The sequence below is a fragment of the Homo sapiens genome, chromosome 18 (genome assembly GCF_000001405.40).
Source record: "Homo sapiens chromosome 18, GRCh38.p14 Primary Assembly".
Lineage (NCBI taxonomy): Eukaryota > Metazoa > Chordata > Mammalia > Primates > Hominidae > Homo > Homo sapiens.
This window is the reverse complement of record NC_000018.10, coordinates 79,923,217-79,937,382: the sequence shown is the minus strand read 5'-3', so window position 1 is coordinate 79,937,382 and position 14,166 is coordinate 79,923,217. Positions and strand designations below refer to the sequence as shown.

The 14,166-nt window shown below is 46.1% G+C and overlaps 1 protein-coding gene across 21 annotated transcripts in view; it reads left to right on the top strand.

The window, feature by feature from the left end:
• The window catches only part of SLC66A2 (solute carrier family 66 member 2), a 49,234-nt gene that overhangs the window by 14,271 nt on the left and 20,797 nt on the right, over positions 1 to 14,166 (top strand). For 8 of the 21 annotated variants that reach the window (XR_007066224.1, NM_025078.5, XM_047437835.1 and 5 more), the window contains one exon: positions 3,361 to 3,414. The exons of 6 other annotated variants lie outside the window; for them this stretch is intronic. Coding sequence is in view for 12 of the 15 variants with exons in the window: in NM_025078.5 (NP_079354.2) it covers positions 3,361 to 3,414 (54 nt within the window). In the remaining 3 variants the exon portion in view is untranslated. Of the gene's footprint in view, positions 1 to 1,615; positions 2,064 to 3,360; positions 3,415 to 7,071; positions 7,156 to 12,329; positions 13,361 to 14,166 lie in introns of those variants that run through there. 7 more of the 21 variants (XR_007066225.1, XM_047437836.1, XR_007066226.1 and 4 more) reach the window with 6 other exon arrangements.

The window sequence follows — 14,166 nt, the reverse complement described above, 5'->3', positions numbered from 1 at the left end:
CTTGTTAATGCTCCAGTTCTTCCCTCTGGCCGGGGAGCCGCGTCAGATGCTGCTGGGCCCTTTCGACCCAGCATGAGGGGTCTCGCTTCTACACAGGATCCTGGTATAACAGGGTGCTCGTGTGGCGGCTACATCTCCTGCCCCAGACCTAGAATCCGTCGTTTCTCCAAGGAGCTCTGGTATCTGGGACACAGTGTTTGGAGACCACGGCCTAGGCATGTGTGAGGGTTGGCCTACAGGTTGATTTTTTGGCTTTTTCAGTGGATGGAGCTAGGGAGTTTTTTTTGGTGAGGTGAAATACTTCATGAGTGGACACCAATTCTTTCCATTTGACTTCAAACCTCCAGGCCTGGCTGTGTCGCTTAGCCTGAGCTCTGCCTCCCTTCTGCCCTCAAGGACCCCACAAATAATGGAATGTGGCATCCTCATGCCTCCCTTAGCCCTCTCTGTGCACGGCAGTCTGAGGGTCACCATGCCAGCGCCGGCCTCCCGGTTACTGAAAACGTTTGTTTTATTGGGGGTGGAGGTTTATATGCTCAGGATTGCACATCCTCAGGACACTTCCCGCTGGGAACGGAGGTCAGGTCGCTGCTGCATGATACGTCACCAGGAAACAAACGCACCTTGTCAGGGGTGCACCAGCAACTGGATACACGGGGTCATTTGTTTCATTTTAAATATTGCTTTTATAAAGTTTAACTTTGTTTTATCATGTACTTTTTTCCTTTTAAGTTCCTCTTAGGGGTTATTTGAGAAATAATTGTCTGTGGCTCAAAGTCAGGTGGTTGAATTTACTTGAAATTTGTCCCAAATCTCAACACTCAGTTCCAGGCTGGAGGCCAGGGAGAGGGAGTGGCTGCTGGTTAGTCAAGGGTTTCTTTTTGGGGTGCTGAAGATGTCCTGAAATTAGATAGTGATGGTGTTTGCACAACTGTGGATATCCTAAAAACCATTGAATTGTACACTTTAAACAGGTGAGTTAGTTATAATTCAAGAAAGCTGGAAAATGTGTTGTATGTAGGGGTCATGTGCCATCTTGCATGCATTTTCAGGGGTTTATTGAGATTCTTGGACGTCACATTAGGAATCCCTGTATCTGCCTGTGTACCTCCCATTGGGGGCTCGCCTGGGCCACTGTGATCATGTGCTCTTCCCTGGTCCCAGGCTGTCTGGCACCTCCCTGTCACTATCACCCCTGCACTCCCCATACACGCCGTACCGACAGGGTACAGTGCAAACCTTCCTTCATGTGCCAACAGCAGTGGTCTCCAGTCGTGACATGGACCAAAGTCCCAGGAAGCAGGTGATGGCCTCTGTGGCCCAGCCAGCCTCCTTCCTGCTGGCCATGTGGAACCATAACTTGTTGTGTCTCTCTTGTTCCAGTCTCTTTGGCTACTCCACAAGTTACCCCAAATCTTAGGACTTGGAAGGACAACAATTATTTTGCTTGTGAGTGCATTTTGGGCAGAGCTTGGCAAGAATAGCTGGTCTCTGCTGTCCTCAGGAGCATCTGGGGAGGCTCAAAGGCTAGGGCTGCAGCCCTTGAAGCTCATTCTCTTGCTTTTTCTCTCTCTCTCTCTCTCCCTCACTCGCTCTTTGGCATGGCTGGTGCTAGCCATCTATCTGCTGGGACCTCCACCCAGGCTCTGCTGGGACACCCACCAAGGCCTCCTCATGAGACCTGGGCTTCCTCACAACATGGCGGCCAGGTCCCAAGGGGGAGCTACCTGAGAAAGCAGGTGGAAGCTGTATCTTTTTTATGACCTAAGTCTTGGAAATCACAGCATTGCTTCTGTGGACTGGAGTGGTCACAAGCCCACCCATGATCAAGGGGAGAAGACACTGACACCACCTCCTGATGCCGAGTGTGGAGGAAAAGGAAAATGTTGCTGGGCCCTTTTTGGATCCTGAGTGCCTGGTCTGGAGGACGTGTTCAGCACAGATCTGTGGAAGTGTGTGACTGTTGAAAATGTTCCTGGCAGCTCTCTCAGCATCAGAACTCTGCATTCCATCCTACACAAACGTGGATCTGATCACACTGCTTTCCAGGCAAGGAGCCTCAGGTAGCTTGAGGCTGTGCCTAGGACACAGCCTGGTGTGGGATGTGACTCTGCAGCCTGAACCATGTCTTCTTCCCCAGCCTGCCGGCTGGCTGCCTCCCACCATTGCCTGTTCACAGTCACACCTGGATGTGAGAAGGGAAACAGTGTGGACTGAGCAGTCCTGCCTTGGGTGGTCCCTCCCTCCCACCCCTTGAGGATCTTGGTCTTTAGAAGAGGCGCCCGTGGAGAGGGATGTTGTCTAAATCAAAGCAACAGAGAGGACGAGCTGAGGGACCCATAGAATCCAAGAGGCAGTGCTGGGGGAGGCTGAGGGAGGAGAGAAGACTGCACTTTGTATGCTGCATTGGTTTATAAAACCCTCAAATTTGGTAGAGATATTGCAGTTCCTGCCTTGTGAGTGGAACAACACCCTAAGTCCAAGTAGCAGAGGGCAGAGGTCAGAGGTCACCTCGTATTTGCTTTTAGCTGTTCACTTGCAAAATTTCCATTTTAAGTCTACATTGCCTGGGGCAGGCAAACACAACCTTTGATCCTACTTCTGCTTTCTGATCCCAGGACTTATTTGAGTCTCTTGTTTATCAACTGTCTTCAATCCCAAACCCCATGGGGCTTCCCAGGAGCCACCTAGAGGCCACACTGTTTTCCAGGACCTTGGCTGCTGTCTTGTCCTGGGGCTGCGCAGATAGGAAGGTTGACTTATAACCTGTCATTGCCAGTGCTGGGCCCTGGAGGGTGCTGGGTCCCTGTCACATTGTCCCTGTGTCTGTGTCTGTGCAGAGGTGCTTGTCAAGTGCATGTGCGGAACCAGCTGTCCTTTTACAGCAGAGTGTACTCTGAAAACAGCTTTATCAGGCAGCCTTCTGAAGAGTTTTGACCTGGGGCAGCTATATTGCAGCCGCAGCTTGCATACAGATGAGTTTCTAGGAAAAGGGAAGCAGGATCTGCCTGGCTGCTTTCCATCAGCACAGCACGCTTGTGACGGGCTCCCATGCTGCCTTTCTCCCGAGAGATTAAATGGAAATGTGGTAACTTTCAATTTTTGGCTCAATTTTTCTCCCATTCTCCCCATTCACTTTTTTATGATATTGGAAGAGGTTAGGTTTGCAGAAAAATAGTTCAGAAAGTGGGTTTTCTAATGCACAAAAACCAAAATCTTGTGATCTTTCTATTCTGGTTTGTTTTTTTTTTTTTAAAGAAATGCAAAAAGTTCTGGGAACACAGCTGTTTACCCATGTTAAAACCAGTATGTTTCTGTCTTTTTCCCCTTTCTGTTTCTGTCTCCCTTTTTAACGTGTAGCTGCAGATAGCAAGGATGAAGAAGTCAAGGTTGCCCCCAGGCGGTCCTTCCTGGGTATGTACCCTGCGCGTGCACTGTCCGCAGCACGTTCCTTTTGCTTCATTCCTGCAGCTGTACTTCCTCCTGTTGTTGCTTCCATCTGTGCATGTGCGTGCGTCATCTTTACCAAGCGTGGCCGAGTCTACAGCAAACTAATCAACTCCTAGCTCTGCTGTTTTCAAGCATGAAGTAGTTACTAGAAGCCTGTCCATGCTCTTCTGTGTGTGGGGAGATGGGGGCGGGAAGGGGAAGCAGGAGGGAGACAGGAAGGGAGGAGAAAAATTTAGATGACAAATTTTGGACTTTGTTAAATTTATTCCAAAGTATTTTATCCTTTTTGATGCTATTGTAAATGGAATTGTTTTCTTAATTTCAGTTCTGCTGCTTCATTGCTACTTTATAGAAATGTAATTGATCATTGCATGTTGATCTTGTATCATGCAATTCTGCTGAACTGGTTTGTTCTAAGAGTTGTTTAGTAGATTCTCTATATATGATTCTGTCATTTGCAAATATAGTTTTAATTCTTCCTTACCAATGTAGTTGCTTTTATTTCTTTTTATTGCTTATCCTGGTTATAGGCGGTGAGAGTGGATGCACCTATCTTATTCTTCATTTTAGTGAGAAAGCATTCCATCTTTCATCACTAAGTAGATGTTAGTTAATGGATTTTCCATAGTTGCCCTTCATTAGGTTAAGGCAGTTCCCTTTTATTCGAGTTTGTTGGGTGTTTTTATAATAAAAGAGTTTGCCAAATGCTTTTCGTGTCTGTTGAGATGATCATGTGGGTTTTATTTTTTATTCTACTATGATGATGTACTACATTGATTGATTTTTGTGTGTTGAACCAACCTTGCATTCTTGGGATAAATCCATGTGGTCATGGTGTCTAACACTTTTTATCTGTTGCTGGATTTTATTTGCTAGTATTGTATTGGGGATTTTTTGTATCTGTATTCGTAAGACATGATGGTCTGTAGTTTTCTTGTGATGACTTTGTCTAGATTTAGTATTAGGATAATACTGGCCTTATAGAATAAGTTGGGAAATGTTCCCCTCCTTTTCTATCTTTTTAGAGTTTGCAAAGGGTTGACACTAATTTCTCTTTAAATATTTTTAGAGTTATCCAGTGAAGCCATCTGGGCTTGGGCTTTTCTTTGTGGGAAGTTTTAAAATTACGAATTCAATCTCTTGTTATAAGTCTATTCAGATTTTTTGTTTCTTTGTAAGTCAGTTTTGGTAGTTTGTATTGGAATTTTTCCATTTCACCCAAGTTATCTAATTTGTTGACATATAATTTTTCTTAGTATTCCCTTATAATCCTTTGTATTTCTGGAAAGTCATTAGTAATGGTTCCTCTTTTATTCCTGACTTTAGTAATTTGATCCCCTCCTTTCCTTTCTTTTTTTGGTCAGTCTAGCTAAAAATTTGTCAATTTTTTGTTCTGGTCAAATAACCAACTTTTTAAAAGGTGTTTCTTTTTCTTTTCTTTCTTTCTTTCTTTCTTTTTTTAACACAACACATCCACATTGCCTATCAGAGAACCAATTTTTGGTTTTGTTCATTTTCTTTATTGTTTTTCTATTCTGTGTTTTATTTCACTCCAATATTCTTTCATTCCTTATGCTTGCTTTGGTTTTAATTTACTCTTTTTCTTAAGGTGGAGGTTAGAACATTGATTTTTTTTCTTTCTTCCTTTTTAATGTAGTTATTGACAGCCATAATTTCTCTCTAAGCAGGTGCTTTACCTGCATCCTATACTTTGGTGTGTTGTGTTTTTGTTTTCATGCACCTAAAAGTATTTTAAAATTTACTCCAAGATTTCTTCTTTGACCCACTTATTAGGAATGTGTTAACTTCCACATATTTGTGAATATCCCAAAATGTCTTCTGTTATCGATTTCAAATTTATTTCCATTATAATTGTAGAATATACTCTGTATTATTCCAGTACTTTTATTTATTTATTTTTAATATTTGGAGACAGAATCTTGCTCTGTTGGCTGTGGTGTGATCTTGGCTCACTGCAACCTCTGCCTCCTGAGTTCAAGCAATTCCTGTGCCTCAGCCTCCCAAGTAGCTGGGACTATAGGTGTGTGCCACCGTCCCTGGCCAATTTTTTTTGTATTTTTTGTAGAGACAGGGTTTTCACCATGTTTACCAGGCTGGTCTCAAACTCCAGAGCTCAGGGCACCCACCCACCACAGCCTCCCAAAGAGCTAGGATTATAGGCATGAGCAACCACGCCCAGCCAGATTCCAGTACTTTTAAATAGAGGCACATCTTATGGCCTAGCATATGATCTGTCCTGGAGAATATTCAATGTGCATTTTGCTGTGGTTGGGTGAAGGTGGAGGGTTGTCTGTTAGGTCAAGTCTATGATTTATTGTTCTTCTGTGTAGTTGTTACGTCCATTACTAAATGTGGGTGTGGAAGTCTGTAACTATTTTTGAATTATCTTTTTCTCTTTTCACTTCTGTCAGTTTTTGTTTGATGTATTTTGGGGCACTGTTGTTTGTTAGGGACGTATATGCATATTTTCTCTTTTGACATCTGTGTCTTCTGACGTTAGTGTCATCACATGCATGTCTCCTGTGGTTGCCATTTGATATATTCTTTCCATTGTTTTACTTTTAACTTTTTTATGTCTTTGAATTTAAAATGAGTCTTCTGTATACATACGATGGATCTTTAAAAAAAATCCATTCTGGCAATTCTGCCCTTTGATTTGATTGTTTATTTCATTCACACTTAATGTTATAATATGTTCAGATTTACATCTGCTACTTTACTTTCTGGTTTCTGTATATCCTATGCCTTTTCCCCTTAGCTGTTGCTCCTTTACAGCTTTCTTTTGTATTAAGTAAATATTTTCTAATGTAACATTTTAATTTCTTTAAATAATGTTTTCTGAATTATTTTCTTAGTAGTTACTTGAAGGCTTACAATATTCATCTTAACTTATCAGAATCTACTTCAAATTTATACTAACTTAATTCCAGTGACAGGAACCTTACTCCTACATGGTTCGATTTCCTCCTCCCTTTTTAAATGGTATGATTATTATACATATTTTGTCTACATATATTACAACCTAACAATATATTTTTCTGATTGTTCCTTTATATACATTTTATGTCATTCAAGAACTTGAGAAAAGAAAGGAGAACAAACATATATTATGGAGTTATTATATTAACCTTATTTACCATTTGTGGTTCCTTTCATTTCTTTCTGAGACTGAGTTACCATCTACAGTCATTTTCTTTCTCTAATACAGTTTTGATCCCATCTCATTTGTGCTATTAATATTATTGTCAAATATATTACATTTCTTTATGTTAAAGGCCCCCAAACAATACAATGCATATTGTTTCATGCAGTTACTTTTTAAGTCAACTAAGAGAGGAAAGGAGAAGACATGTGACCGATATCATCTTTTATAATAACTTACATCATTGTCTTTACCTGTACTCTTTTTTTATGTGGATTTGAATTGCGTCTGATGTTTCTTGTTTTCAGCATGAAAAATTTGTTTTCTGTAAGGTCTGCCTACTAGCAACAGATTTTCTCAGTTCTTGTTTATCTGGGAATCTTTGTTTTCCCCTTATTTTTTAAAAAAAGTTTTACTAGATGTAAGAATCTTGGTTGATGATTTTTTTTTCTTTTCAGTGCTTTGAATATGTTATTCCACTGCCCTCTGGACTCCATTGTTTCTGATGAGAAGTCAGCTGTTAATCTTATTGGGGTTTCCTTGTAAGTGATAAATTATTTTTCTCTTGCTACTTTCAAGATTTTGTCTTTGTTTTTTGACATTCATCATTTAGACTGTGATGTGTCAGGGTGTGGATCTCTTTATCAGGTTTGCAATTTGTTGAGCTTCTTGGGTATGTGGATTAATATTTTCATCATATTTGGGAAGTTTTCAAAAGTCATTATCTCCTTGAATTTTTTTTTCTGCTCCCCTCTCTCCTCTCCACAATCTCACCCATTCTGCATGTGCCGGTGCCCTTTCCTGTCATCCCACCTTTCTCTGAGACTGTGTTCTTTTTTCTTAATTCTGTTTTCTGTTTGTTCTTTAGGTTGCATAGTCTTTATTGATATTTCTTTGAATTCACTGATTCTTCTGCCAGCTCAGTCTGTTGTTGAGCCCTTATAGTGAGTTTTAAAATTTTAGTTGTGCTTTGCAATGCCAGAATTTCCACTTGGTTCTTTTTTTTTAGAATTTCTGTCTCTTTATTGATAACCTCTATGTGATCAGTTGTTGTCATCATATTTTCTTTTAATTCTTTATGCATGGATCCCTTTAGTTATTTGAACATATTTATAATAGCTATTTTAAAGTCTTCTTCTACTGAGTCCAACACCTGTGCCTCTTCAAAAGCAGTTTGTGTCCTGCTTATTATTTTTTTCCTGTGTGAACCACACTTTTCTGTTTCTTTGTATAACTCATTTTGTTTTCTTGTTGCAAGCTGGACATTTTAGGTAAACTATAGTAGCAGCTGTGGATACAGATTCCCCCACTTGGGGGAAGGATGACTTACTGTTTGCTTGTTTGTTTTGTGATTTGGCTGGACTAGTGCAGTCTCTGGGCCTCTTCTCCCTCAGATGTGGTGGTTCTGGCTGGCTGTGACCCTCCCTGATCTTCCCGTTAAGCTTCTGGTGGTCAAACCAGCTGTTGGCCTCCACTCATTGATGGCTGCTGGCTGATTTGATGATGCCCTGGGGGATGTATTCCCCACAGCTGGGCAGGGTGGCCATTGGGGCCAGTGTTTGGTGGTGGTTCTGTTCCCAGGAGTGCTCCTCTTGGTTGTCCTTTCTGGTTCTGTTTGATAAACTTTGAGCTCATCATGGAGCTTCTAGCTCCTCTTAGTTGCTGGCTGCCGAGGTCTCTGTTGTTTTTGTTAGCATCCTTACACTTGAACTTGTACCTGCTCTAAGCAGGGAGTCCCTCTAGGGAGAGCTACGGAGCTCTCTATCCTGATACCGCCATCCCCAGGACAGAACCTCTGGTCCTCTGAGGGTGACAGCTCTGCTCTGAGTGCTGCATGGGAAGTGAGTTGTTGCCTCTGGTCTTCTTAGTTTGCCCCTGCTTGTGTGGAACCTCTCCCAGTGAGCAAGCTGAGGCAGGGACAAGGGATGCTCAGTGTCCTCTGCCCCTGCGCCATGGGTGGGGGCTGAGTGGAGGAAGGGAGCCTGGGCAGACAGGAGCTGAGCAGGCGATGAAGAGCTCGGGTGCCCGCCACTGCTGCAGTGGCACTGGGGGAGAGGGAGCCTGTCTTCTCGGTTGCCTGCTGGGAGTAGAGCTTTTGTCACATGGGGATGGGGAAGCAGGTTGTGGCCCAAGTGTCACGAAGTTGCTGTTCCTGCTGCCACTTAGGTGGTTTTCTTGGATAAGCGTTTCTCCATTCGCCGTGTGTCCCTAAGACACGTTAGGGACTTTAAGTGGGTGCTGTTTGTAATGTTCACCACTGGCAGTGATGTTGCTGGAGAGGGTCTGTGGAGAGCCTCACACTGCTGTTCTGGAAGAGCCTACTGCCTCTGTTGTTTCTGACCTGGCTGAAACCCTGATGGCTGGAAGCATGAAGAAGGTTTCAGGCTGGCAGAGCAACGCTCTTGAGTTTCTGTTCAATGGCTACATTGAGTAAACGCAGCAGCCAAGCATTCTCCATGGGGTGTGTCATGGAGGAACTCCTGGAACTGTCCTGAAGTCCTCTTTAGAAGTAGGTAGCCCAAAACTTTCATTTTAAAGTGACTTGGGGAAAACTGTTTATTCCAGTGCCATCTGGGCTGGGGCCTTTCTGGGCTGTTTCTGCTGTGTATGATGCTGTGTTTGTGTCCTGATTTCGGGCAGAAGCCGTTCAGGCTGGAGGGCCATGGCTCCCTTGGCCGCGGTGACAGCCCAGCCCCTCACCTCTCTCACCTGTCCACCGTTGGGTGCCCCACTGAGCAGACTCTGAGCAAATGAGGGGCCCGGAGATGTCAGTTAGGGTAAAGGGGGGAAAAGGCTCCTGAAGATGAGAGGAGGCTGAGAGCAGGCAAGGCCATTCTCCCAGGGCCTCCCTGGCTCTAGCTGAGGCGGCTGCAGGAATGTGTCTCAGCAGCTGTTAGGGCAGTGCGGCGGTGAGCGCTTGTCTGTCTGGGCAGCCTTGGGTTGGGACGCGGACACCTGTCTCGGCAGTTGCTTGATTTGTCCTTGCCGAGTGGGAGGGTGTTTGTTTCCCGGGGTCCTCTTTGGAAGCCGGCACGGCTGGCCCTCCCACTCTGGCCCTAGACGTGCTCAGTCCCCACTCAGCCTGTCCCACTCACTGGGGTTGGGGCGGGGGCTCTGTCACTCCCCGAGGGTCTCTGATGTGGGTCTCTCTGCGTCGTCCTCTGGCCCCAGCTGTGTCGTCTGCCTGTCCCTGTTGCCGCCTGCTGCACAGGTGGCAGGATTAGAGGGGTCAGCGAGGCCAGTGCCGGCCTCGAAGGCTAAGAAGGGCATTTATACTCATTCTGCAGCAGGTGGTGTGGCCGTCTTTGTTAAAATCCTTTTGCGTCCCTGATCCTTAGGATAAAGTAAAAGTCGGCCCTGGTGGCCTCGGGGGCCTCTTGTCTGTGCTCTCCTGACTGTAGCCTGTGCCCCTCAGGTCCCTCCAGATGAGCCCCTGTGTGCCTGCCCGGGGCTCTCCCGACTGTAGCCTGTGCCCCTCAGGTCCCTCCAGATGAGCCCCTGTGTGCCCGCCTGGGGTCCTGCTGAGCCCTGCCTGCAGCTCCGGGTCTGGGCAGTGCCTGTTTGTTCCCTCCCAGGTGGCCGGGCCGTTTCCAAGGACAGGCTCTGCCTGCTCAGCTGGAGTGGGGTGGAGAAGCAGACGCAGCAGGTAGGGCTGGGACCTGCCCTGAAGGGCAGCTTGCAGGAGGTCAGGTGAGCCTGGACCAGGGATTTGAAGGAAGTGAGAAGTTTTTTCGTTTTTTTGTTTTTTCCTGGAGAGTCGATTTGTATTTTTAAAAATACTGAAACAGTCACAGAGTTAAAGTGGGAGTATGATACAGTTTAGCTGCTGGGAATGGCCGTCACTCCAGGGAGCGCCAAAGTGCTTAAAAGAACAGTTTCTTTGCCAACACTTGTGGTCAGTAACCTGTAACAGAGCTACAACTAGGAAAATTAGAGTGGTGGTAGTCACTCATTTAAGAAGTCATTCAGGTAAGCAGCTGCACCGTCTGTACCCCTTAAGTAGCAAAGAAGCTGTTACAGTCTTCTGAAAACTATCACTGTGAGTGCTATAATTCTGAATGTAATGTTTCTTAATTAGAATTCATACAAGAATCATGAAAAAAAAAAAAGAGCAATTTCCTCCCCTGCAGAATGTCCCTGAGCAGTGTGGCCCAGGAGGCTCCGTAGCCTGGTGAAAGGCACCCTGTGGCTCTGGGGTGGAGCTTGGCGTTACCGAGATGCCATTCACGTCCTGCGAGCGCCCATCGAGTGTGCGATCTGTGGGTCCCGAGGGTGCCTGCAGGGGTCTGATGTGCCCAGGTTCTTGTTGCATGGCAGTTCTCCGTTCAGTGTTCGAAACCAGTGCTGTGATGCCCTCCAGCCATCCCAGTCCCAACAGGAAGCTCTCTGGCATTCTCTGTCCCTCTCATGTTTATTACTGGAAAGGGCTCCCCACCCAGACCCCAGGAAAGGACTCTTGGGTCTCGCACAAGAAAGAATTTGAGGTGAATCCATAAAGTGAAAGCAAGTTTATTAGGGAAGTAAAGGAATAAGAGAATGGCTACTTCATAGGCAGAGCAGCCCCAAGGGCTGCTGGTTGCCCATTTTTATGGTTATTTCTTGATGATATGCTAAACAAGGGGTGGATTATTCATGCCTCCCCTTTTTAGACCATATAGGGTAACTTCCTGATGTTGCCACAGCATCTGTAAACTGTCACGGTGCTGGTAGGAGTGTAGCAGTGAGGACGACCAGAGGTCACTCTTGTGGCCGTCTTGGTTTTGGTGGGTTTTGTCCGGCTTCTTTACTGCAAGCTGTTTTATCAGCAAGGTCTTTATGACCTGTATCTTGTGCCGACCTCCTGTCTCATCCTGTGATTAAGAATGCCTGACCGTCTGGGAACGCAGCTCAGAGGGCCTCAGCCTCATCTTAGCCAGCCTCTATTCACAATGGAGTTGCTCTTGCTCCAATGCCTTGGACACGTTGGCCATCAGATCCTCTTACACCAGGCTCTCTCATGTGCTCCTGTAGACATGAAAACACGACCTGATGAGAAATCGGATCTTCCTTACCCATTAGGAGACAGTCTCCTGGTGCACATTCCCCAAGTGGTAAAATTGCTTTTTAATCCAGGAGCAGTTGGACTGGAGCTGGTCTGTTCCCACAGGGCTCCCCATGGGGGGTGCTGGAAGAGATCTGTCTGTGAGTTGAGGGCAGCCACGCCCGTGCGACGGAAGCTTCTGAGGATCAGCTGTTCTCTGCTCAGTGCATGCCAGGGTGGGCCTCTGGTGAGCCCCCCAAGCCTGGAAACATTCGTTTAGCATTGAATGCCTCGTTTTCAAGCCTTATCTTTGGTGCCGCTCTCTAGAAACACATCTCGGGAAGTCACGGCGTGTGAGTCTGCACTGCCGGCTGTCAGCTGTTCTGTTGGCACCTTGCGTGACCACGGGTGTGCATCCTAATTGCGTTCTTGCCCTTTTGTTCTTGTTCTCAGAGCCCCTCCTCTCCCACAGCCACCTGCCCTCTTGGATTTCTGTCGGGCTCAGCAGTGCGGGGGCCTGGCTGCTTTGGAAAGGGGGGTGCCCTCCCCTCCCAGGTCCCTCGGAATAGGGCCAGCTCTTCTGGGAGGACTGCCAGGCGCCTCTCTCTTATTTGCTGATTTAAAAAACTATTAATGAAAATCTCCTGACACAGGAATGTCTCAGAAGTGCAGAAAATGTTCTTTTCCACCGGACAGATCAGGAGTCACCATGCCCACCAGGTGTCCCCCGTGTCCGCCGACTTCTCCTGACTGAACTTAGAGATCTCATTTCCCGCTGTCTGAGCCACCCCAGGTCAGCCTCAGCCAGCGTTTTCCTTACCCAGCTCCTCCCCGCCACCTGCTCCAATTCCCCAGCACATGTGAGCTGACAGCTAATGGTAGATGGCTGCTAAATTTATTTCAAATTGTTCTGGATACAAATGACAGCACCTTAATTCCCAGACTTGGAGTTGAAGGAACTATTTTCAACTTCAGCATCAGAAAATGCTGGATAAGTATTTACTAATAAGTAATAAGTAGATACTTTTTAATAAAACAAGTAGATATGTCTGCATCTTTTGGTATAAGACAAGTCACATACATTAAAATTTTCTATTTCGTTATGCATTCAAATTAGAGAGATAATTTACATAACATTCAAATTAGAGATATAATTTACATAACATAAAATTCACAATTTTATCACCATTTAAAAGTGCACAGTTCGGTGGTTTTTAGTGTATTTACAGAGTTGTGCGGCCATCACCACTGTCTCATTAGGGGGCCTTTCATCACCCCCAAAGAAACCCCTTCGAACCAGTTTCCTTCTTTTCCCCAAGTTCCGTCTTCCCCCAGCCCCGACGGCGGCTCGTCTGCTGTCTGTGCGCTCGCCTGTGCTGGACACTTCATGGGAACAGACTCATTAGTGTGTGGTTCCCGTGTCTGGCTTCTGTCACTTGGTGTCCTGTTTCAAGGTCCATCCGTGTTGTTGCATGAATCTGCCCTTTCTTCCTTTTTGTGGCTAATACTCCACTGTGCACCAGGCCACGTTCTGTTTGGAAATCTGCCCCCACCTGCACCACGCATCTCAGCTGCCTCGCCTCGTGCCTCTCACCCTGCTGTCCCTCTGCCATCCTCGGGAGCCTCTCCGCCGGCCCGGCAGTGGTAAATGCACGAATTGAGGGTGTTTGGCGTGTACGGTTAAGCTCGCCAGTGCCTTTTTTTTTTTTTTTTGAGACCAGGTCCCACTCTGTCACCCAGGCTGCAGTGCAGTGGCACAGCCATGGCTCACTACAGCCTTGAACTCCTGGGCTCAAGGGATCCTCCTGCTTCGGCCTCCCAAGTAGCTGGGATCACAGGTGCGCACCACCACACCCTGCTAATTTTTTATTTTTTTTGTAAAGATGGAATCTCATGATGTTCAAGACCTCCTGGACTCAAGTGATTCTCCCACCTCAACCTCCCAAGGTGCTGGGATGACAGGTGTGAGCCACTGCGCCTGGCCATGTTTTAGATTTCGATGAAGTCCGGTTTATCTTTTATTCTTCTTTTGTTGCCTGTGCTTTTGGTTTTACAGCTAAAAATTCATTGACAAATCCAATGTCTTGAAGTGTTTCCTCATGTTTTCTTCTGAGAGTTTTAGTTTCAGGTCTTATTTGTAGGTTTTTGATCCATTTTGAGTTAAATTTCGTATGTGGTATAAGGTAAGCATCCAGGTTCATTCTTTTCTCAGAAACTGTTTAGTGAGGATTTTCTGTTAGTCATTTGCCAATTGACTCCTTCCTGGGGAAACTAAAATAGGTCTCCCAGAGATGGACCTTAGACCTGGCTTTCCCAAGTCTCTTAAACCCTCACCTGGCGTCCTGTGTCCGCAGCCCACCGTGCACAGCCTGCCCATCCACCACCTGCCCATGCATGACCCACCTGTCCACAGCCCCCCTGCCTGCCCGTCCACCATCCACCCATCCACCACCCACCTGTCCACCACCCGCCTGTCCATGGCCCCCCGTCCTCCACCCACCCGTCCACGGCCCCCCCCCATCCACCCCCTCAC